Consider the following 25,192-nt stretch of genomic DNA (forward strand, 5'->3'; position numbering starts at 1 on the left):
AGAAAATGAAGATGCAGGAAAGAACCACGGGGAGACAGTGCTCACCCAGAGAACATGTGCAAGGAAAAGCATTCTCCTAGGCCCAGACAGAGCAACAGAGCCTGCCAAAAAGACCTGCGCAGTAGAGGAAAAGGATTGAGGGAGGTAAGTTCTAACTCAGAGAGCACACTCTAAGGGCTGAAAAGAGTTGAGATAAGGCCTTAAAAATTCTCCCATAGGTAAAAGAAAAAGCCAAAGTTTCTTCAAGCTAATCAAGTATGTAATTAGGAGACAGTCTATGCAAACACTGCATACCCAACACACACACCCGACAGTAAATATTTGATCAAAATATCAGCTCCCATTATTTCTGTTTGGGGATTCTCTTGAACAATTTCCCCCCACTGCCATCCTGCTTTCAATTCTCTAAATTACTGGGGGATTGAAGTGACCAAATAATGCAGACCCACAGGGAATCCAAACTTCTGGTTTCTGCTATTTCAAATACCCTCTCCCAAGTTTCTCCACTAGACCCCTCTCTTACAAAATAGTCCACAGATTGATATATTAGAATCTCCTCCTATACCTGCCTCCCCTTTCATGCCTCTGGGCACCAGGGAAGCCACTGAGAACCAGCAGAAGTACGCAAACAAAGCCAGAGAAGACAATAATATAAACTAAAAATCTAGATTATCCCAACATATGTTACAGACACTGGAGAATGCAAAGTTAAAAACCAAAACTTTTACCATTGCTTCCCAGACGGGTGTGCTCTTCTTCCTCCATCATACCTCTTTCTGCGCCTTTCAGGTCTCATCTATTCATCCATCCATCCATCCATTTATCCATCATCCACCATGCATCAATGGACCCCTATTAAGCACCCTCTCTTGTTTGCTCATAATGTGGTGGACACTATGAAGATACACAGGGTTCTGGGTCTCACCCAAGATTATAAAGAACAATTAGACAAGGAAGCATCTAATGAAGGGATGATGGATGGTACAATACCTCACTTATGCCCTCAGAATTCAGAGGAGACAGACAGAATGAGAACAGTAAGAGCTGTTGAGGGTAGGAAGGAGAACTTGGTCCTCTCTGTAGTCATAGCACCTACCACAGGGCTCCCAGGGACTTGCCTGTTCAGTGATGAATACCTAGAGAAGGTGCAGTTTCTAGTGGAAGGACAGTAGGATTTGGCTAGGACAGAGAGCATCCCAGAACTGGATACAGCAGGAGCCAATGCTGTGGGATCCAGGTGTGCCCAGGAGGGCCAGCCCTCCGGTATATATCGAAGCCCCAGGACCAAGTGGTTGGAAAGTACGGCTGCTCACATCTGCTGTATACCACAGAAATTTGGGGGATGGCTCCACTTTTGTGACCTACTTCTCCTAACTCTTTTCCCAAGATATTGCATTCATCAGAAACTCAAGTCTTAGATACAGAAAACCAGCGAAAAGTTAAGTAAATCTTAACTGAACTCCCAGGAAGTGATGTAAAGTTTTAAACATTTTCCCGTATTCAGATATATCATTGAGCAGTCTCCAAATGTCTCTTTGCTCTAGTTCCATATGTTATCTTTCCCAGATTTCTCTCATATAGGCTCTTACCCTACTTGATTCAGCAACTTAACACGAGGTTCCGTTTTTCCTCTCTAGGCTTCATTTAATTTTCTCCTCTACTAATTATCATAATCTCCAGGTGTGCACATGTGCATGGATACATCCGTGTGTGCACACATGCTACGAGAGTGAGCAAGCCATAATCTAGAAATGTCCTTAGACGAGAAAAAGACTGCAAGTATGTGACCTTGCTGATTCTTCTTTGAATCCTGTCACACTAAGTTTGGATTCCAGAGCCACCCTTCTTTTGCATGTGACCTGGAACGAATCACATAACTTTTCTATGTCTCACTTTTCTCATCTGTATAGTGGGAAAACAACTGCCTCTTTGGGTTGATGGGGGTGGGGAGTGTTCAATGAGACAATGGAAATGAAGAAGAAAACATAGCATGACCCTAGGAGGTGTTGGATAGATTTCAGCTATCGTTTTGATGACCGTTCTCCAGGTCCTGATCAAGCAGCAAGCCTGCAGACGGCACGCTCCCCTTATCCCACCAGCCTCAGGACATGGGCTCCAGATCTTCAGTGACACAAAGTGTGAGGGAGCAGAGCACATATTGAGGGAAGGGACAAGGATCTGTTAAGTGGAGCAAAGGGTCTGAGCAGGTATTCATGGGGAAACAAGATTTAGTCTACAGTATAAGTACCCCATTTGGTGGTTGCCCTTCTCTTCCAGAATCTTCACCTTTGTGACACGTGCCCACAATGAATCATGTCCTCAAGGCAGTCCTGGGTGGTTATGGCTCATGGTGACTTTTACCTGTTGTTTTGTAAAGTGAGCTGTGTCTTTTTGAGGCAGGCTATGTTCCCTGGAGGCTTCTGAGATAACCAGACATTTACAAGGCTCCTACCAGGGTAAGATGTGGGGGACTTCTGCAGCACAGATGCACACAACATTCAAAGGAAAATAAGGATGCAACACATCACCAGGAGGAGATGATGCCCACCAGGAGAACACATGAAAGGAAGGGCATGCTGAGGCTGACAAGCCAAGGAAGCACCTACAGGAGCAGGGATTTGACCGACAGGGAAGTTGCCCAGCATTTATGCACATTAGCCTATTGCATGGTGGTTCCACCCTATTGAGGCAGGTGTCATTATTGCCATGACAGATGGAAGACTGAGGATCAGCAAAATCACTTATTTGCTCATAGTGGTAATGGCCTGTAGGTGGTAGGACTGAGGTTCAAACTCAGTGTGTTCTGGCTCTCTGGTCTTATTCTTTGAAACACAGCAAGTGGTCTTACATTGCTAGTGGCTAGGAGAAGCATAATGCCCGGACCCTGTCCTTTGAGAGTTTACCATCCACTGTTTCACTAGAAAGGCAGAGCTAGGCACGTTCGCAGTCACACACTTACACTTGTATGTACACAAATATACTCATGCATGTTTTTACATCATTTGATGTAGACATCAAAATAATATCTACGCCTCTCAGACTGACATTGAGCGTTGAGAGTGGAAGCTGGGGTCAAGTCCTAGAGGCCCCCTGCTGTGGATGCATCAGCCTCCTTATATCCTTATGGTGTGGGGGGCTGCGTAAGCAACCAGGGTGGTGCCAGGGCATGACAGGAAGGGAAGTTGGTGTGGCAGCCATTGGCCACCTATTACAAAATATTTTTAATATTTTTAAAACCATGGATTCAGTAACATCTGTGCAGACCGGCATGTAACTTCTGAATATCAGCCCTGTGCACACTCACTCTTGCACATTCACACGTTTGTCCACATACACTCATATTCCCACAAATATACAGCTCATTAACCCTCACATGAGAGCTCACCACACACCAACACACACTCACATGCGGTCAATCACACTCAAGTATGATTACACCCACTGACACACACTCACAGACACCCAGATGCACACACACACTCACACTGTAATTCCCACTGTTGAGCATGGCCCCAGAACATCAAATCCAGCTCTACTCCTGTGACCTAGTGACTTGTCCTCTCCCCTTTCTCCAGGCCTCTGCCACATTCCAGCAAGGATGTCTCACCATCTGGCTTGAGTGAAATTTCCACAGAACAGAGGTCTCAGGATGAAGAGTGTGATGCTGAGGGCTTCGAAGGGGGTATGCCTTCATCAGAGAAGTGCTTGTATACATATTCTCTTTATTCTGCTCCAAACAAAGAAATTCCATGGAAGATGGCATGGTAGGGTGCAGGAAAGAGAGTACCTACACATCTTGGAGTGTGACAGACCTGGGCTCAAATCTCCTCTTCCTTACTTTTGTATTAATCTTGGCCAACTTAACCTTTCTAAGCTAAAAAATGAGAATAACTTGAACTTCAAGTCCTAAATTTGAAGCTCAGAGTTTCTGACAGCAGTGGTGTTCTATCTTTCCCTCATGCCCTCCTCCACAAGCCCCAGGGAAAGGGAACCCCACTGCTAGATGCACATCCTGCTGTGTATGCCCAGGTTGTGGGGAGCAGGGGGACCCTAGCTGGTAATGGATTTCTGCAATGAAGCTTCAGCACTCGGCAGTCAGTCATCCTTTGAAGGAAGCCCTGCCTGTGGGTGCGGCCAGCTTCAGTGTGCTCCACCATCTCCTGCAGGTTTGTACGTGTGCCCTGGCAATCTGACATTCCTGGGAGAATCACAGATGCCTGGCACTGAAGACGCCCTGGGCGTGGCTTATACCCACCTATGCTGAAACTCCTCCCAGTCACTTTGGGGCTATCAGTTCGGCATGCCATGTTTAAGTGTGTTATTGTTGTCTGGGGGTCTTGTTCATACGCAGAGAACAGTCATTGTTTTACCCCAGACTCCTGACCCTTGATATTTGGTCCTCTGTCTTCTGGAATTTTTATGTCAACTCTCAGGAATTAGACTATGCAGCTTCCATCTCACTCTTAAATAAAATAAAAAGGGAACCATTTTCCCTGTCCTGGGCTCTCCAGGCAGCCCTTTGGCTCAAGTCTCCTCTGCCACCAAGGGCCGATGATGTGTGTGACATGAATGCTCATCTTCGGTGGACTTAGGAGACACTGGAGCTCTGAATTAGGAGCACTGGACAGAGTATATGAGAGCTGAGTATTGTCTTAGTTATTCTGCTGTTCTTCTGCGGGACCCAGGACAAGTCATTCCCTTTTCCCAGTGTCCTCACCTGTACATGACAATGTTGGACTTCCTGAACTATTTCTAAGCTTCTTTCAGTTCTGACTCTGTATGAGGTGACTCACGCTAATCTTTGTGTTTAATCTCTTCGCCTAATGATTCATCATCATGGAAAACCCTAAAAGAGGTAAGTCTGGGGTTGAAGGCCACCAGATGCTTCTGCATGGAGGCGTAGAGAAAGCTTAGCTAAAACATGCATCTGTATTTGAAGAGCACTCGGGCTTAGGACTAACTTTCCTCCCTCCAGGGAACCAACACATCCACCTTCCGGGGCCAGGTGTGTGTGTGTGTGTGTATGTGTGTTTAAGCAGCAATTTACTACTATAAGCAAGACACTATACTGGGATCTTAATACTTATCTTATATAATATACATTACTACCATATAAGTAAAAAATTTAATTTTGCAAATGAGGAAAGCAAGAACCAAAGAGGTTATAAACTTTGCCAGCTGAAAGAGCTGAGAGTCAAATATAGATCATTCTTGGCACAGAAAGACAAATACCACATGATCTACTTATGTGTGGGATCTAGAAAGTCAAACTCATGGAAGCAGAAAGTAGAAGGGTGGTTACCAGAGGCTGGGCATTGGGGAAGGACTGGGGAGATATTGGTCAAAGCAATATAAAATTTCAGTTTGATAGGAGGAATAAGTTCAAGAGATCTATCCTACAAGTGATGACTACAGTTAATAATGTATTATACACTTGAAAATCACTAAGAGTAGATTGTGTGTTCTCCCCACAAAAAAAAAAATCGTATGTGAAGGTACACATATATTAATTAGCTCAATTTAGCCATTCCACAATTTATGCATATTTCAAAACATTCTGTTGTACACAATAAAGATATACCACATTTGTCAATTAAAAATAAATTAAATAAAATTCCTTTAAAAATTTAAAAAGAAGAAAAAAGTCAACATTAGAGAAACTGGAAGGATATATAAAACCGCTTTGTACTATTTTGCAATTTTTCTGTAAACCTAAAATTATTCCAAAATAAAAATTTGTTAAAAATAACAAACAAATATAGATCTGTCTTTCATATAGGCCCACCCTTTTTTTTTATTATACTTTAAGTTTTAGGGTACATGTGCACATTGTGCAGGCTAGTTACATATGTATACATGTGCCGTGCTGGTGCGCTGCACCCACTAACTCGTCATCTAGCATTAGGTATATCTCCCAATGCTATCCCTCCCCCCTCCCCCCACCCCACCACAGTCCCCAGAGTGTGATATTCCCCTTCCTGTGTCCATGTGATCTCATTGTTCAATTCCCACCTATGAGTGAGAATATGCGGTGTTTGGTTTTTTGTTCTTGCGATAGTTTACTGAGAATGATGATTTCCAATTTCATCCATGTCCCTACAAAGGACATGAACTCATCATTTTTTATGGCTGCATAGTATTCCATGTTGTATATGTGCCACATTTTCTTAATCCAGTCTATCATTGTTGGACATTTGGGTTGGTTTCAAGTCTTTGCTATTGTGAATAATGCCGCAATAAACATACGTGTGCATGTGTCTTTATAGCAGCATGATTTATAGTCATTTGGGTATATACCCAGTAACGGGATGGCTGGGTCAAATGGTATTTCTAGTTCTAGATCCCTGAGGAATCGCCACACTGACTTCCACAATGGTTGAACTAGTTTACAGTCCCACCAACAGTGTAAAAGTGTTCCTATTTCTCCACATCCTCTCCAGCACCTGTTGTTTCCTGACTTTTTAATGATTGCCATTCTAACTGGTGTGAGATGATATCTCATAGTGGTTTTGATTTGCATTTCTCTGATGGCCAGTGATGATGAGCATTTTTTCATGTGTTTTTTGGCTGCATAAATGTCTTCTTTTGAGAAGTGTCTGTTCATGTCCTTCACCCACTTTTTGATGGGGTTGTTTGGTTTTTTCTTGTAAATTTGTTTGAGTTCATTGTAGATTCTGGATATTAGCCCTTTGTCAGATGAGTAGGTTGTGAAAATTTTCTCCCATTTTGTAGGTTGCCTGTTCACTCTGATAGTAATTTCTTTTGCTGTGCAGAAGCTCTTTAGTTTAATTAGATCCCATTTGTCAATTTTGGCTTTTGTTGCCATTGCTTTTGGTGTTTTGGACATGAAGTCCTTGCCCACGCCTATGTCCTGAATGGTAATGCCTAGGTTTTCTTCTAGGGTTTTTATGGTTTAAATCTAACGTTTAAATCTTTAATCCATCTTGAATTGATTTTTGTATAAGGTGTAAGGAAGGGATCCAGTTTCAGCTTTCTACATATGGCTAGCCAGTTTTCCCAGCACCATTTATTAAATAGGGAATCCTTTCCCCATTGCTTGTTTTTCTCAGGTTTGTCAAAGATCAGACAGGGATGCCCTCTCTCACCGCTCCTATTCAACATAGTGTTGGAAGTTCTGGCCAGGGCAATCAGGCAGGAGAAGGAAATAAAGGGTATTCAATTAGGAAAAGAGGAAGTCAAATTGTCCCTGTTTGCAGATGACATGATTGTTTATCTAGAAAACCCCATCATCTCAGCCCAAAATCTCCTTAAGCGATAAGCAACTTCGGCAAAGTCTCAGGATACAAAATCAATGTACAAAAATCACAAGCATTCTTATACACCAACAACAGACAAACAGAGAGCCAAATCATGAGTGAACTCCCATTCACAATTGCTTCAAAGAGAATAAAATACCTAGGAATCCAACTTACAAGGGATGTGAAGGACCTCTTCAAGGAGAACTACAAACCACTGCTCAAGGAAATAAAAGAGGATACAAACAAATGAAAGAACATTCCATGCTCATGGGTAGGAAGAATCAATATCGTGAAAATGGCCATACTGCCCAAGGTAATTTACAGATTCAATGCCATCCCCATCAAGCTACCAATGACTTTCTTCACAGAATTGGAAAAAACTACTTTAAAGTTCATATGGAACCAAAAAAGAGCCTGCATCGCCAACTCAATCCTAAGCCAAAAGAACAAAGCTGGAGGCATCACACTACCTGACTTCAAACTATACTACAAGGCTACAGTAACCAAAATAGCATGGTACAAAACAGAGATATAGATCAATGGAACAGAACAGAGCCCTCAGAAATAACGCCGCATACCTACAACTATCTGATCTTTGACAGGCCCACCCTTTTGACTATGGTTCCCATGGCTAAGCTGAATATTTTCCAAGGCAGGCAGGGCTGAGGTTTTTCTCATCTACATTTCATTGCACTAGTTGAAAGGGAACTCTGGGTATGTCTAATGCAATGCCTAGATGCAGGTTATGGCCTCCGTGGAGCTGGCCATATCTTGCTCCTCATATGGCCTTTATCTTGCTCCTCATAGCCTGGAGGAAATAAAATATAAATGGTGAAACAAGTGTGCATGCTAGGGCTTCTCTGATGGGAAAGGGTGAGAGGTCAGTGATTTTTAAGAGTGACAGGAAGCAGTAAGCCATATTCCTTTTGTCTTCATTGAATTCCCTATTCCATTCTTAGCATAAGACTAGATTTAGGTGGTGTCCTCTGCCTTGGCACCCTGAGAGCAAAGTGTGTGTGTATGCATATGTGTGTGTGCACGCATGTCTTCATGCCTGTACATGTGTTCATCTGCGTGTACATATGCATATGTGCATGCTATTGTCTTTGTGAACAATCAGGAAAGTGTCACCAGCAACCATAATCTTAATAGTTTCCCAATGGTCTTCCATCGTGCCCTGTTATCACTGCGGCCCCCTGTGAGGAGAGTTGTTAAATTAGAATCTTGGGGGTTTTTTGTTTGTTTTTTAAGGTGCTCATTTTGATTCTCCTTAGTACAGACTGGGAGCAGTCAATAGAATAGTGCTGGCTTTGCCATCCCAGGGGGCAGGTGCCCCTTGGTTGTAAGGCAGGTAGCAGAGAACAGTGGGTAAAGTAGGAGAGACCAAATAAAACAGCAGGCACCAGTGTCAGATGCATATGAACCAGAGCAACTCCATCTTGAATAGGAGCTGGGTAAAATGAGGCTGAAACCTACTGGGCTACATTCCCAGACAGTTAAGGCATTCTAAGCCACAGGATGAGCTAGGAGGTGACCACAAGATACAGGTCATTAAGACCTTGCTGATAAAATACCTTGCAGTAAACATGCCGGCTAAAACCCACCAAAACCAAGATGGCCACAAGAGTGACCTCTGGTCGTCCTCACTGCTACACTCTCACCAGTGCCATGACAGTTATAAACGAATGGCAATGTTAAGAAGTTACCCTACATGGTCTAAAAGGGGGCAGCATGAATAATCCACACCTTGTTTAGCATATAATCAAGAAATAACCATAAAAATTGGCAACCAGGAGCCCTCGGGGCTGCTCTGTCTATGCAGTAGCCATTCTTTTATTCCACTACTTTCTTAATAAACTTGCTTTCACTTTACTCACCCTGAATTCTTTCTTGCACAGGATCAAAGAACCCTTTCTTGGGGTCTGGATCGGGGCCCCTTTCCTGTAACACCAGCACCTTGTAAAAAGATGTACCAAGGCCAGGTAGAGCCTCATGACTCACCTGCAGATGCCGATAGAAGGACACCTGCAGCTCACAAGGGCTGATAACAAGCTCCTTCTATCTCCAGATTGGGCCAAGAAGGGCTCTCTGGCCCAGGGCTAGAAGCCAAAGGAGTCTTTGCAAGAAGACGACTAGGGTCTGAGTGGTAATTACAGCAGTCTGTGTGAGAACTCTCCACTACCTTAAATAATTTAAAGATAATCCTCTGAGGTTGGCAATGGAAATCACCCCTGAGACAGGATCTGTGGGAGTTCAGCACAATTCATGCTTCTCAAGAAATCTCCACTTGGAGATTTCTTGCTAACTGTGGCTTCTTTTTTTAAAAGTCCTTGCTTCAGAACTAAAATGAAGCCAGAGTAGCCTTCAAACAAAAAACATACCAAAGGCTCAGTCACAACCAAAGGTCAATGGGCATAGAGGTGATATGTGGCCAGATTATCTGGTCAATAAGCATGGTTTACTCATTTTCAGCACAGGCTTCACTGCAAGGGTGTCTTCCTGGCAAACCCCTGTCCTGCCTTGACGAGGCCAAAGCCACCATATCCTCACAACCCAGGAGCACACGCAAGCATCTCCCGGCCTTCCAAAGCTAGAACAGCACTTCATACTTCTCCCTGCTCCTTCAACAACAGTGGTTAGTGATGGTGGTTGTTCTTAAAGGGAAAAGATGGCAGAGATCTTTGCTCAGGTATCACCTTGTCCAGAAGCCCAGGGGAGATTTAAGTGTCCTACAGCCTTCCCTGGGTGATGTCTAGTGGTAAGTTGCACTTAGCTGGCCAGGAATTGTCACACTCTGTCTAAATCACTTGGTCACTTGTCTCCTTGTCCCAGTCTCACCACCTGCTTGTTCCCCAAACACAGGGAGTGACACTTAGAGGTCCTTACAGGTGTACTGATGGAGAACCTGCATGTTCAAACTACTGCTGGGTTTCGGAGGAAGTGGCCTCACCCTAGCTTGGGGGTGGCCGCTTTCCCCAACACAGCCTCCGGCCAAGGCCTGCTCTCTGTACACACCATTTGTCTGTGCAGCAACCCCCTCCTTCTGCACTCTACCATCTCTGCGGCTCACTCACTCCCCGAAAGAACCGCATGGCATCGGGCGGCCTATGCCTCCTGAGCCCTGCCTGTTCACAAGCCCTGTGCTGGAAGGTGCAGTCAACAGGCATGGAGAGCTTATGGTTCCCGAGAGAAACAGTGTGACTCAGTCTAAGTTATTTGAGCCAAACTAACTCAGGCTTGATTCATTTACCAGCTACACAACTTGGGGCAAGTTACCCTCTCTGGGCTTCAGTTTTCTTATTTACTAAACAGAGGTGGTGCTTCTCCTCCTATAGAGACCGGGGCTACAATGTAGCTGCTGTTTAGTAAATGGAATCCATTGCAGGGAGAGCTCCTGCTCTCTTCCCAGGTTGACTTGCCTGAACTCCACGGAACCCTTCCTAATTTCCCACCCCTTGCAATGACTGAAGCCAGCCCGTCTGCATCAAGCCCCAATGATGCCTGTACCTGGCAAAGGGACCAAGGCACTGGTTCCAATGGGGAGGTTACTGGCACCTCCTCCGACAGGAGTGTAGTCCAGCTTGAATGGCTGTGGGAATAGGAGGAGTGCCAGCTGAGGGCTCTATGGCCCTGTTTCTCTGCCTGTACAGTGAGGTACAGAGATCACTAAGGTCTCAGCTGGGTCCAAGGGTCCCAGGTCCTGTGGGTCCTGTGGGTCCTGTGGGTCAGCCAACAGCCTCCTGCGGCAAGAACTCCGCTGAAATTAGAAGCAGGTGCACCGGCTTAGCCCTGCCCAGCAGGTAGCGCTCTGCCCTAACCGCCTGGAGGGCTGACTTACGTGGTTTGACGCAAGGTTTCCTGGGTCAGAGTGAGGAAGGAGATGGTTTATTTAGCTTCCCAACCACAGACAAAAAGTTATTAGTAGAAAAATGTCAGCTGCCCACAAATAGTTTTTGTCATGTACTGTGTATGCCCAGGCTGGCTTCTCCATATTCCCTTCCCCTCTCTCTCCTCTTGTATCCCCCACCTGTACACACGCAGTCACATAGACGTATGTGCACACACACAAACACACACACACACACACGTGGGCCCATACACACACCTAAGTCGCTGTCTTAACTGCCGGTAGCATACACTGGAATTAAGCACTTACCTTCCCTTTGGCCAGTGTCAAGCAAAACTAGGAGGGAAATCTCCCTGGGAGAAAAAAGTCAGTGCTTGTATGTGCCAGTACATCAGTCAGGATAGGCTAAGTTACGCCTCGGTAACCAATGAACCACAAATCCCAGGGGCTTAAAACATAGGCTTATTTATAACCTTTGTTTTTATCCTGCATGTCCACTGAGGATCAGCTGCAGCCCTGCTGCACATTAATTGGATTTCAGGATCCAGACTGACAGAGCAGCCTGGGTCTGGAACATGGTCAGTCCTCTGAGGAGAGAGGAAAGAGGGCATAGTGAACCATGGCTCTTAAGGTTTACATCTTATGGACAAAGCAAGTCACATGGCCAGGGCTGCCATCAGCAATGCGGCAGGGAAATGTGCTCCCTGGGGAAGAGGGGAACAGGCAGCAAACTGTTTATGAACAATACGACAGTTTACCTCACCCACCGCAGAGATTGCTGTATTATCTGCCCCTTGGAATTACCGATCCCAGCATTGCCTTTTTTTGAACTGTAGACGTCATCTTAGGCAACCCAAGCAAGCTTTGTCAACTTCTCCTGTGTGCCAGCAGCTCTAAGGCACTGAGTGGAGGGAGGGAACCAAGAGTGAGAAAGATAGGCCCCTGCCTTTAACAGGCTCATAACTGAGCAAGGAAGAAAAGCTCAGAAACATATTAGAGGCATGAAATGAAACATATTAGAGGTAAGTTTGCCATGAGCCACAGAGACGGAAGGGCCTCAGGAGTGTCTAGCAAACTGCACTGTTCCACATCAGGCAAGCAGGTGTAAGTTCTCCTTTACAACCACATTGTGGGAGAGTCTACACTTATATGTACTCTCTGGACTTACCACATATTTGATTTTTCAAACACATATTCATTGTGTATCTCCTATAGGTCAGGTACTTATACTACACATAGGAGTCAATGGAAACTAGGGAATGTTCCTGCCTTCAAGGAGCTCACAGTTAACAGAGGGACAGACCAGGGGATATCCTATTCTAAAACAGTACAATCAGTGCTAGGACAGGAGCTTCCTGAACAGAGATGGGCACCTGGGTAACACAGAGTGGGAAATGTTCAGGGAAGAAATGATTCCATTTCTGAAGTGCTAAGAGTATCAGTCAGGCACAGATTAGGGACACAGTCCAGGTAGAGGGAATGGCTTGTTGGAGAACTATAGTTTTCTTTCTTTCTTCTTCTTCTACTTTTTTTTTTTTTTTTTTTTTGAGACAGTGTCTCATTCTGTCACCCAGAGCGGAATGCAGTGGTGTGATTTCGGCTCACTGCAACCTCCGCCTCCTGGGTTCAAGCAATTCTCCTGCCTCAGCCTCCCAAATAGCTGGGACTACAGGCACCTGCGACCACACCCAGCTAATTTTTTGTATTTTTAGTAGAGACAGGGTTTCACTGTGTTAGCCAGGGTGGTCTCGATCTCCTGATCTCATGATCTGCCTGCCTCGGCCTACCAAAGTCCTGGGATTACAGGCGTGAACCACCATACCTGGCCCTATTCTTCTTTATTTTAATTTAAATTGTGAGTCTTCTCAGAGTGGGGCCATGTGTGAAGGGCCTTTTATACCATGTAAAAAACTGTGGACTTTTTTCTGAGGCCTGAAGGAGTCACTGACGGGTTTAGGCTTGGAGTGGCTTGTTTACCATGGATACAAGGTATAGTCCTGCCTCTTCCCTTCTCATCCAGCTCAGGAGGGATGAATATGCCACATGGTCTATTTGTATTTCAGCCTACTGACTACATACAAGGCCAGTCTCAATGCCCAGTAGCAGCTGCGCAGATCTCTGGGTCCTGGTCGTGAACTCAGTGTCTCAGTGCTCACATGGCACTGTCTGAAACTGATTCTGGCAGACTTTGCTTGATGCAGCTGATTCCCCAGAAGGTTTCCTGGCCAGAGGTCAGGGCACTGACTTGACAGACTGGCCCAGCTTGTGGTATCAACTAATTTGTCTGTTTGATTTGGTTTCTTATCTCAGCCACCATCACTGACCTGAGGGACAATCAGAGCCCCAGCTCTTCATTCCCAGGGCCCAAAGCCTGGGGAATAATCAGGCTCCCCACTGGTTAGTGTCATCAGCAGAAATGTCCTGTTGCCCAACCATCTTCTTCCAGGAAGAGAGCTACTCTCCCTCCATGGCTACTGTGGCTGGTCTTTAGTTGACATTACATCCACTGAGCTTGGTTGACCAGTGACAAAGATTCTTTGCTTGACCAAACTTTAGTCAGGCTCCTGAAACTTCTTCTAGGCTTACCTGTGTACTTGCTTGTAAATTCAGTTTTAGCCAAGAACCAACCTTACTAAGTTTACCAAGAACCACCCACCCTCAATGTCTGATTACCCTTGATATATAATCAGGTTCCTTGACCTCCTCCATCCCCCATGTGAAGTCTGATCACCCTGGCTTATCTTCAGCAAGAATCCTGTTGGGTTTTTTTAGCCACAATTCTTCTTAGCTCTGCTGTTTCCTCTTAGTCACTTTTCATCCACTGACTCCCACCCTGCTCCTTGGCTATAGATTCTCATTTGCCCATGCTGTATTTGGAGTTGAGCTCAACCTCCCCTCTGCTGAAAATCCCATTGCAATGGTTCCTATATCTATCACAATGGTCCTGAATAGAGTCTTTCCTCAACACATGCAACAAGTGTCATTGAAATGTTTTTTCTTTGACACTAGAAATGAAAATCACAGGGAACTCCTAAGAGAAAGCAAGAAAGCAAGAAAGAAAACAAGAAAGCGAGAAAGCGAGAAAGCGAGAAAGAAAGAAAGAAAGAAAGAAACGAAAGAAAGAAAGAAAGAAAGAAACGAAAGAAAGAAAGAAAGAAAGAAAGAAAGAAAGAAAGAAAGAAAGAAAGAAAAGAAAGAAAGAAAGAAAGAAGGAAAAAATTAAGAAATAATTGTCCAGGCCAGGTGCAGTGGCTCATGCCTGTAATCCCAGCATTTGGGGAGGCTGAGGTGGGTGGATCACTTGAGGTCAGGAGTTTGAGACCAGCCTGGGCAACATGGTGAAACCCCATTCTACTAAAACTACAAAAATTAACTGGATGTGGGGGTGCATACCTGTGGTCCCAGCTACTCAGGAAGCTGAGGCAGGAGAATCGCTTGAATCTGGGAGGTAGAGGTTGCAGTGAGCCAAGATCATGACACTATACTCCAACCTGGGCTACAGCTTGAGACTCCACCTCAAAAAAAAAAAAAAAAGAAAAGAAATAACTGTTCAGCTTACATGATACAGTTCTTAGGGCATCCTTTGCAAAGCATTTTTTTGTTTTGTTTTCTACCCTTAGCCCCTCACCCTCTACAGGGCTTTCTTTCTTCTACTATACCAGGACTTGCTTTTCTAAATTAGTTGCCAGCCAGCCAGCCAAACAGTCGATGTATCAGTTGATCAAACACTCAACCAGCCAGCTAGTCAGTTGTTCAGTGAACTGGCCAGTTAGGCAGCTAGTCTATCAGCTCATTTCTTATTTATGCACCCACCTCCTCCCTCCCTCCATCTTTCACTTGCTCACTCACAGACTGACTCACTCAGCAGCATCCTTTAGTCATTGGACACCTGCTCACCAACTAGCTAGTCTATTATCTGGCCAAGCACCCATTTTTACTAGGGTGTAAGTTCTGTCTTGAGCATCCTTCCTACCCTTAAGGAGCTTGCACTCTGGGTGGATATAAAGAGCCACTCCACAGACACCACACATACATCAGTGTATTAACATCCAGGCACGAGGCCTCTTACAGGTGACAGTTGATTGCAGCATAGATCTTCAAGGTAGAAGAAGAGAAGGGAAGGGCTATGTATATGGTTCGGATAAACAGGGATTGCTACTTAAGCATTGGCCTGAACCTGAAAAGATAAATTAGTCCAAAACACATGCTAGGACTTCATGGGTTCTGCCTGTAAGGCCAAACTCTCAGCTGATTCATTTATATATCATCTACCCATTTATTCATGTGTCCATTTGCTGGTTCACATGTATGAAGTGGATATAATATGCGCTTGGTTAGTGTGAGGGATAGATGAGAAACACTCAAATAGCATAAATTAAAAGCTGTGGATATTGAGCAAAGGAGGGAAGCACATCTTTTGGGAAAGATTGGGGAAAGGGGCCATGGGGAAAGTGGTGTTTAAGATGGTTCCTGAAGACTGAATTTCACTGGGAAATCTGGGAGTAGGGCACCATGACAGATTGAATAGTTCGAGGCAGGAAAGTATGGGCAAGTTCTGGAAATGAATAGTTTTGTCTGGAACTGTCTTAAGGAAGCTAAAACAGGAATTATAGGTGGTGGTAGCTTATGCAAGATCTTTAAACGGTTTATATTCCCTCCCCTTCTTCAAGTGCCTGAAGGACTGTTATGTATACGCTCTAGCACACTGCTCCCTGCTTTAGGCTGAATCGGGAATGGTGGCTACCTGCATGCATGTGACCACTCACCTCTCTCATAGCGGACACCATTTACCAAGGAAGGCACTCTTACCCACTGATCCTGAAATCAACCTCAACACCCTCAATTCACTGTCAATTCCACCAGGATGAAACAAGGCTGCCTTCCCTGACCTAATCATACATTTACAGACTCTTAGCCCTCAATGGAACCTTAGCAATAATGTTGGCCAATCTTTTCATATTGGAAACCAGGAAAATTGAGGCCCAGGAAAGTTAGGGGATGTACCCAAGATTTCACAGCCAGTGAGGGGCGAGTATTCCTAGAGCTATCTCCCTCCTCCCTCAGCTCCCTCCCTGTGTCTCTAACTGCAACCATGTCACATCACAGGAAAGGGGGACTAGTGCTTCAGCTCCATTTGTCTTCCATGAGGCAGATCCTAGCATGCTTCCCAGATGGGCGACTTGGCTACTCACCCCCACCCTTCCACTACCAGTGCTCAGCTTCCACAGTGCATGGTCTATGGATGTTCCATGGAGACCAGTGTATCACACAAGGTCCAGGGCTCGTTTCCCCCTAAACTCCTAGTACTGCCTAGGGTCTTCTAGAAATGTATCATAGTGGGATGAGGGGTGGAGCGAGGAGATAAATTAACCACACATTTCTGGAGATTCATCTTCTCACTGTTCTCCCTCCAAGGAAGTCCTTCTGTGAAAGGAACTTCCTTTAGTATTATCATACAGAATATCTAACATTGGTATCAAAACATCTTCTATGCAGACAGCCTAAATTAGAGGGTGAAATGACTTATATTGCAAATGGACTTCCTACATTTAAAAAAAAAAGTTGCAAGGTCTCCTTAAGTAGCATCTTCCAAAGTGTCTATTGACAGATTGTTAAGTAATTAGTGAAGGGAGAAACACGAAACTAAAATTTTCTAAGCCATGACTGCTGGTTAACTATCAACCCAAAATTAAGATAAATCAAATATTACATTATTCTGATTTTATTTTATTTTATTTTATTTTTTGAGACAGGGTCTCATTTGGTCACCCAGGCTGGAGTGCAGTGGCTCGATCATGGTTCACTGCAGCCTCAACCTCCTGGGCTTAAGTGATCCTCCTGCATCACCCTTTCGAGTAGTTGGGATGACAGACATGTGCCACCATGCCTGACTAACTTTTAAATTTATTTTGTAGGGACAAGATCTCTCCATGTTGCCCAGCCTGGTCTCAAACTCCTAGCCACAAGCCATCTGTCCGCCTGGATCTCCCAAAGTGCCAGAATTACAGGCATGAGCCACCATGCCCAGCTAAATCTAATTTTTAAAATAAGATGCTACTTGCTCGGTTTTGAATTTTCACCTTACAAGGACAAGCAGCTAAAATTCAGGAACCCTGGCCCCAAACCTCCACTGTCTTCTCTACTAAGCTTGGTCCTCCTCCCCTAAAACTCTCTGATGATTCACCCAGGATGCTCCTTTTTGCCTTTTCTTCTTTCATTCCTGGAAATGGCATAATAAATATGTTCCATTTGTCTCCAGATGAAGTCATTAACAACCTTTCTTTTCTCCAAAATCCAGAGACAAATAGGAAGATGTGTCTGGATTAAGAGTTAAATTATTAACACTGTCTCTGATAGGTCCCCTCCCAGTGCTCAGGCCTCTGCCAGTTACCCCATTGTTTGCCTGCAGGGTGGAGCTGGGTTTCTCAAGCTTTGACTCAGCTTCAGAAATGAGTCTTAACTGCGCCCTCCCTTCCCTGATGGAGTCACAGGCACGCACCTGCTCTCAGGTGCCTGCTCCCCTGAGCGGGAAGATGCAGAGCCCGGCTTTCTGGTTTTTAATACAGCGTGGTCCTTTGAAGATAAGAAAGCAGATGCAGAACTCCAGATTGGCCAGGACACAGTCCCGTGGCTCGGCTGGGGCAGTGGGGCTGGGAGGGGTGACTGCAGAGTCACCATTCCACACAGCTTCCCAGGGCCCACCTTATCTGGAGGGGTTGATTTGAGGGGTGGCAGGAAGTCTCCCCTCTCCTTTGAAAGCATAATCCACTGCCCTAGCCAGCCAGGGTGTTTGGAAATCAGCTATTACCCATTTAAGAGACTTGGGTGAACCCTCCCTCCTGGATTCTGGATCCAGCGACCATCAGAGCTAGTTTTCTCGCCTATAAAATGTATAATACAATTAGCTTTCTTCATAGTGTGTTGTGAAAACCGCATATGGAAGTGTTTGATAAGGTTTAGTAACTAATAAAAAAGCAGCTGTGTCTGGCAGTGTGAGACAGGGATCAGTGAAGATCTCTTAGAAGGGGTAGGGAGGACACGCTAGCGCTAGCGGGGAAAAGAGTACCTGGCTTCCACCGCATGTTCTCACTCATAGGTGGGAATTGAACAATGAGAATACATGGACACAGGAAGGGGAACATCACACACAGGGGACTGTTGTGGTGGGGGGGAGGGGGGAGGGATAGCATTAGGAGACACCTAATGCTAAATGATGAGTTAATGGGTGCAGCACACCATCATGGCACATGTATACATATGTAACAAACCTGCACGTTGTGCACATGTACCCTAAAACTTAAAGTATAATTAAAAAAAAAAAGAGTACCTGGCTTCCAAGGAGGGAATCGGGAGGAAGACTGGGGCAAGAAGAGGTGGAGACCACCTCAAGCAGCTTCGTAATTTGTCATCAGTGCAGCCTCTGCTAAGAAGCTGCCCAGTATTTCACTCCTATCAGCTGACTGAGAGGGACTGTGGTGTCAGGAGACCTGCAATTCAACCCTGGCTTTGACATTAGCCCTCATGTGACCTTGGGGTAGATATGGCCTCATTCAAAGTTTCAGTTTCCCTCTCTGTAGACTGGCAATAATGTAGCTGACAGGGAAGTCGAGTGTGGAGGTTTTGAAAGGTGTAACATGTTGAATGCACATGAGGTTGACTGGGTCTTGAATGTTTATGATCTATGACACATGGTCCCTTTAAGGCCAGCCATATTTAGGTCTCTATCTGGGTCACCCCTGGGGTATCCTCTGAGATGATAGCTGTTTTATAAGCCGAGTTTTATCACATGACAGAATGCTTCAAAACTAAGCAGGAGTCCTTTATTAATAAAATAAAAGGGCAATGATGAAATTGGGAAAAATAGGAGTAAAATTCATTGCAGTAAACCCACATGGGTGACTGGGACATGAGGGATGGAGCTGCCCATCTGTTCACAGGCAATACACACATACCAGTGCCTTCAAGGCACCAGGTATATGAAAAGCCTTGGTCTATGTCCATGCAAATCTGTCTTGCTGCGTAGTTTCCTTGTGGAGAGTTCATATCAGCAAGAGCACAGAGGACTGGGGGTATGTGGAAGTGAGGGCTGCAGGTGGAGATGGTGTTCTTCTTGGAGGTGGAATGCAGAACCAGAATCTGGAACCCAGAATATTACATTCTTAGTGTTGCTAGGCTTGGGAAGAGGAAGTGGGGGAGGTCTGGCCTGGAGGGGAAAATTAAGGGGCTGATTAAAGTGAGGCTGACCCTGAAAAATGAACAGTATTCCATCCACATAAGACAGAAAGCTCAGGAGACGTTATTAGTCATGGTCCCCACCCAATGACAGTGACTTGTCCACCATGGAGATGCTGACTGCGGTGATGGAGTGGAAATGAGCCCCAGGCCAGGCACCCACCCAGCTCCACCCTGAGCAGCTGCATGTGGTTGAGCAGGTCCTTTAACTTCTTTGGGCCAGCCTCTTTAAATTGTCAGTAAAATTGTCATGAGGATTAAATGAGGTGAGGGATTTGAAAAATGCTTTGGAAAGTACATTAAGGTATTCCTATCATTTCTCAGGCCATCCTACCCCTTCCTCTGGTGATGGCAGTGGTGAGCCCTTGCATGGCCTCTTGTTGGGCAGCATCCTGAGGTCGATCTTTGGGGTAGAGGGCTAGAGGTGGACCAGCTTCCCAGAGGCCCTGCCTTTCTCCATCCCAGGGCCTAGGAGGCTAAATGGAGGACCAGGGCTCCTTCCTGCCACCTAGATAAGGCCCTGAGTAGGATTGCTGTATTTAGCAAATAAAAATAGAGCCTGCCCAGTGAAATTTGAATTTCATATGAACTACAAGTAATTTTTGAGTATGTTTCCTGCAATATTTGGAATATACTTATACTTTTAAAATATTCTGTTATCTGAGATTCAAATTTAACTGAATGTCCTGTATTTTATGTGGCAAGTCTACCACAGGGGCCAATTCTATCCCATGTTCTGTAACCACCACGAATACTCCTCAGCACCCCAACTCCCAATGGGCAGATGGGGACAGCACCGCCGTGTGCTGGGGCACCATTCACATCATCTTCTACCTGTGCCCCAGAGAAGCCTCACAGAACACTTCGTGAACTGTCCCCCTGGAATAGGAAGGACACTTGCACTGTGTATTGAGGAAGGGGGATGAGTGGTACCTGGGGCTAGGCATTGAATCATCCAGATCTGAATTCAAATCCCATCTCTGCTGTTTAATCTTTCTCAGCCTCACTTTTTTCATCTGCAAAATGGTAACAACGACACTTTCCCTAGAGGGGCCATGAAGATGAAATGAAATAATAAGCATGACGGATGGTCCTGGTGCTAGCCTCACAGTGAGTGCTCAAGAAATGGCAGCAATTTGCAGAAAAAGGGATGTTCACATTTTTGTCAGAATTGCCCCAAACCCCATCCTCTCCCTCTTCCTCTTTTTTCTTCAATATTTCTTATAACTGTCTGTCTGCAAACAGCTCCTTCAATTTGTACTATATTTAAAAGATCTTGAATCCCTGAGTTTGAGCAAACACCTTTGGTGGGTTAAATCAGCTCAGGTGCAGAGACTTGGAATGCTGAAAATATATGGTGGGTGGCTTTCATCAAAACAGGTCAGCAAAGCAAGTCCCTGAAGGAAGTGCAGGTGGGAGAAGTGGGTGAGGAATTCCCTGGGAGGTGGTAATCAGGACCACACCAAGTGCCCAGGGCAGGTTGGGGGCCCTATAAAGGCTCCTGGAGTGGCTCTGCCTGTGGACAAGGGCTCAGCCTCCTCTCCTGGGGTCCAGCTTGTCGCCTCTGGTAAGTGAGAACTCATCTGTTCTCCTGGGATTTGTGGGGCGCTTTCCTTCTCCTTTAACTCCTTTGAGCCGCTAGGCCAAGATCCTCTTCCATCCTTGGGTAATCAGGGAAGTGACACAAGTCTTCTGACAATTGCGGAAATGGCACACTAATCGGTACTTAGAAAGTTTAATCTCCATTCCGCACCATTGCTCAGTATGACTTATTTTCTGATCATGGGTTTGACTCCCCAGAAAGAAGATTTTTATTGTTGAAGAAGGAGATATTTAGAGCTACAGGATTTTGTAGCAATTCCGAGCCCTGTTTAAAGGTTTCTCACACCCTATTCTGCATTTTGCTTACCAGTAAGCTTTAAACTTTTCTTCCAGGTGTATGCAAACAGGTATATTGAACATTTTATTCAATCCTATGCAGCTCTCATGCTTCCCTATTCTGATTGCCACCTCTTTACTTCCTGAGGCCTGCACTTCCCATCTATAATCATTAACTTAGACCATAAGGAACACTGCCTACAAAGATAGCCAGAGACCCTCATCAGAGCTGGGAAGGCTTCAGGGAACTTCCTGACCAGCATCCTTCTAATAAGGGTGCTGAGACCCACAGAAGGAAGGTTGCCCATGAAGTTAATGGCAGGATGGACCTAGAACCAATGTCTGAGCCTTCTTGGCTAGCGCTCTTTCCTTTGAACATCCTCCTGTCATCCTTTGGCTCCAGTGATCTATTTGGCTGGCCCTCAAGCTTCCCAGTTCTTTGTAGAGGGCTGGAACCACTATCCTGTAGCCACATAGGACTTGCCTTAGTCTCCCATGGTGAGTCAGGGGTGGAGCAGGGATTAGAGATCAGGCCTCTGCATTCTTATACACCCCTTCTCCAGCCCGATCTCTCACACACACACACACACACACACACACACACACACTCACACACACACCATGATGCTTACCTGTAAGACAGAGACTGTTTTTGTCCTCTCCTCATGCCCCTACATCCTTGCCCATTCTCATTGTCTGCATTATCAAAGGGAGCCAGTTGACATTGTCCAGATCTGTCAGCTAAGATGGCATGCTTTGACCTTGTAAAATGTCTGGGCTACTTTTTAACCATCTTTTTAAAAAGGGTGTTAAAAGGCTACTTTTTAACACCCTTCTCATGGTGTCCCTGCCCGGTTTCCTTTAGGCTCACCTGTTCCTAGAGCAATGTCTTCCCAGCAGCAGCAGCGGCAGCAGCAGCAGTGCCCACCCCAGAGGGCCCAGCAGCAGCAAGTGAAGCAGCCTTGTCAGCCACCCCCTGTTAAATGTCAAGAGACATGTGCACCCAAAACCAAGGATCCATGTGCTCCCCAGGTCAAGAAGCAATGCCCACCGAAAGGCACCATCATTCCAGCCCAGCAGAAGTGTCCCTCAGCCCAGCAAGCCTCCAAGAGCAAACAGAAGTAAGGATGGACTGGATATTACCATCATCCACCATCCTGGCTACCAGATGGAACCTTCTCTTCTTCCTTCTCCTCTTCCCTCCAGCTCTTGAGCCTACCCTCCTCTCACATCTCCTCCTGCCCAAGATGTAAGGAAGCATTGTAAGGATTTCTTCCCATCGTACCCTTCCCCACACATACCACCTTGGCTTCTTCTATATCCCACCCCGATGCTCTCCCAGGTGGGTGTGAGAGAGACCTCATTCTCTGCAGGCTCCAGCGTGGCCACAGCTAAGGCCCATCCATTTCCCAAAGTGAGGAAAGTGTCTGGGCTTCTTCTGGGGTTCCACCCTGACAAGTAGGGTCACAGAGGCTGGTGCACAGTTTCTGCCTCATTCCTCTCCATGATGCCCCCTGCTCTGGGCTTCTCTCCTGTTTTCCCCAATAAATATGTGCCTCATGTAATAAATGTGTCTGCTTCCTGGGCTAATTGTCCACTCCCAGTCCCATTCTGTGATTCATTCATTCATTCAGAGGGAACATTTTAGGGAAGTGAAGGTGCAAGTACACACATGCCCGGGAGTTCAGGAAGTCACTCTTATGGACACAGTTACTCTCTGGTAACCAACAATGGGGAAACATATCCAGATGTATCTCAGGTAAAGGAGGACAGAAAACAAGCCCAGCAACTAATTGGCAAAAGTCTAATAGAGTCTTGCATAACTAATACCATCTAGGGAAGATCAAAAGGGAGGAAAATTTAGCTCCTACCATTAGAAGCCCAGCCCACCTGATGAATGCAGTTTTTTCCTCTTGGAAGTTGTCATTCTGAAAAAGCACACAAAGCATACATAAATGACCTGAGTCCTGCAAAACATTTCTACAAACATGTGCAACTGACTTTTTCATGTATTTGCTTATGTTTTTGTTCATTCATTAACTCACACTCATTCACTTACATATTCATACTCAACTCATCTGATATTTGGCAAGTTCTAGAATGACCTTAGTTTTCCACTCTGCCATGCTGGATTTCCAGAGCTATCCAGAGTCAATTTATCCTGTGTCTCAGTGTACTGTTTGGAAGGCAGTCATTTTCTTACACAGGGAAATATTGTTCCGGGGATGGCCACATACAGAGAGTTTGTACAAAGTATACAGGGCCTGGTTTTGTCAGTTAGTCTGACTTTACACAGCTTATAAAAGAAACCTGTTTTTACAACTGGCTTCCTGACCCTCCTAACCCACGTGTGAGACCAGCTGCCTATATTGGAAAGAAGCGGCAAACCTCTCAGATATAAAGAAAGATAAGTATTCGAAGAAGAGACCCTGAGTAGGAAGAAGCAGCTGAATGGAGTTCGATTTTCTCCCCTTGAGCTTTATTCTTTTCCTGGGATTTAGTCACTCAATTTCAGTTGCCACCATCAAGCATAAATTGCTTTCTCACTTAACACACTAGCCTAAAAGGGAACAAATAACCACCTTCTCTACTTCCCCTTAAAGTAGCGATCCATGGCTGATATTTCCAAGTCATAGTTACTTAAAACTTAGTGGGTACCGACATTAACCAGGAAAGCCAAAGTATTGCAAACACAATTAAGATTCATTCTAGCCCTAAGAATTCATTGACAGCCTTTCTGTGCCCCAATCCCTGCATCCTAAAATAACTCCCCTCTGTCAAGTAGAAAAGCCAGTCTGTCTTATTCCCCTTCCTGGCTTCCTTCCATCTAAGCCCTATCCAGTTTCTTGGACACACTGTTTTTCAGAGTTTTCATGTCATTTTCATGTCTCCCAAGAAGGCCTTGGCAAGTCTTCCCACAGACTTTTGAGTACCAGGCTGATAGATTTGCATAGTCTTCAGCTAATTGGACAGATAGGGGTGATTGAAACAATGAATGCTTCTGCTGTGATATGTGTCTCAGGTTATTAACTCAGTGAGGAAGGGGAGACACCCATGTTTTCCACACCAGTGGCCAAGGACAAAGTCCCATCTCTGCATGAGTAGGTGGGCATCCATTCCCCCTTATGAAGAAATTCTTTTATGTAATTCTACCCTTCAGAAGTTCACAAAGCAACATTGGCTTATGTCAAAATCCCAGCCATAATTAAACTCATAAAAGTTAAAATATGAGCCCTTAAAGAACAGGAGTCTTGTTTACCTCACTATCCCCAAATGTGCAATGACTAGCTTTTCAAAAGTACAGAAGAAAGAACTGCTTCTGAGTGGAAAAGGACAGCCTGTGGCAAGCCAGCAGCCTAGTGTACATCTAGAGCAAATTACAAACTAGCTGCACCCACCTGGGGACCCTAAAACTCCAGAGATAGGAGAGCCTCAGAGAGGTGAGCCAACAAATGTTTACCTGGGATAATCTGTGGATTCTGGGCAAGAGCAGAAGAATAAAAACCAAAGCTTTCTACTGTGGAGGATCATTGCTAGGGACAGAGAGACCAGAGAATTTATGGGTGCTCTAGGGGGCGGTCTTTAAGCAAGTGGTTGATATTCCACTTGGAACATGTAATGAATTCTAGGAATGGTCAGGTCAGGATATTAAATACCTAAGCAGAAAGTCTTTGAAATGTAAAGTGGAGTTTTTAGTAGGTTTATGAAACAATGAATGGAGTTTGCAACCTGCCAGGTGGAGGGCCTCTGGCAAACACACCAGATAGAGAGTTAAAAACTGAAAGGCCAGGGATAATTCTACTCTGTTGGATAGAAGTCAAAATCATGGCCATCGCTGGGGAGAGTACCAACTGGAAGGGGATATGATGAAGCTGTCTGAGATTCTGGAAAAGTTCTCAGCCTAGTGGGTGCCAGTTACCTGGGTTCATATATATATCAAAACATACACTCAACTGATTTGTGCATTTTTTTTGTT

The 25,192-nt window shown here is 45.1% G+C and overlaps 1 protein-coding gene across 2 annotated transcripts, besides 2 other annotated features; it reads left to right on the top strand.

Annotated features, from left to right (window-relative positions):
• Window positions 18,530–18,729: an enhancer, noted in NCBI's record as "active region_1738". NCBI's record gives its function as "activates an Ori minimal core promoter by ATAC-STARR-seq in GM12878 lymphoblastoid cells {active_cell/tissue: GM12878}" and the evidence as "EXISTENCE:reporter gene assay evidence [ECO:0000049][PMID:35858748]".
• Window positions 18,820–18,869: an enhancer, noted in NCBI's record as "active region_1739". NCBI's record gives its function as "activates an Ori minimal core promoter by ATAC-STARR-seq in GM12878 lymphoblastoid cells {active_cell/tissue: GM12878}" and the evidence as "EXISTENCE:reporter gene assay evidence [ECO:0000049][PMID:35858748]".
• On the top strand, window positions 18,961–22,785 carry SPRR4 (small proline rich protein 4). 2 transcript variants are annotated; one of them, XM_017000482.3, is made up of 3 exons: window positions 18,961–19,604; window positions 20,340–20,448; window positions 22,082–22,785. In XM_017000482.3, exon 3 carries the CDS (start codon window positions 22,102–22,104, stop codon window positions 22,339–22,341), a length of 240 nt encoding a protein of 79 aa, XP_016855971.1. In that variant the 5' UTR covers window positions 18,961–19,604; window positions 20,340–20,448; window positions 22,082–22,101; the 3' UTR covers window positions 22,342–22,785. The 2 variants fall into 2 exon arrangements, with proteins under 2 accessions (XP_016855971.1, NP_775103.1); NM_173080.3 differs by lacking the exons at window positions 18,961–19,604; window positions 20,340–20,448 and adding an exon at window positions 20,859–20,905.
• The last annotated feature ends 2,407 nt before the right edge of the window (window positions 22,786–25,192 follow it).

Source organism: Homo sapiens, chromosome 1 (genome assembly GCF_000001405.40).
Source record: "Homo sapiens chromosome 1, GRCh38.p14 Primary Assembly".
In the NCBI taxonomy this organism is placed as follows: domain Eukaryota; kingdom Metazoa; phylum Chordata; class Mammalia; order Primates; family Hominidae; genus Homo; species Homo sapiens.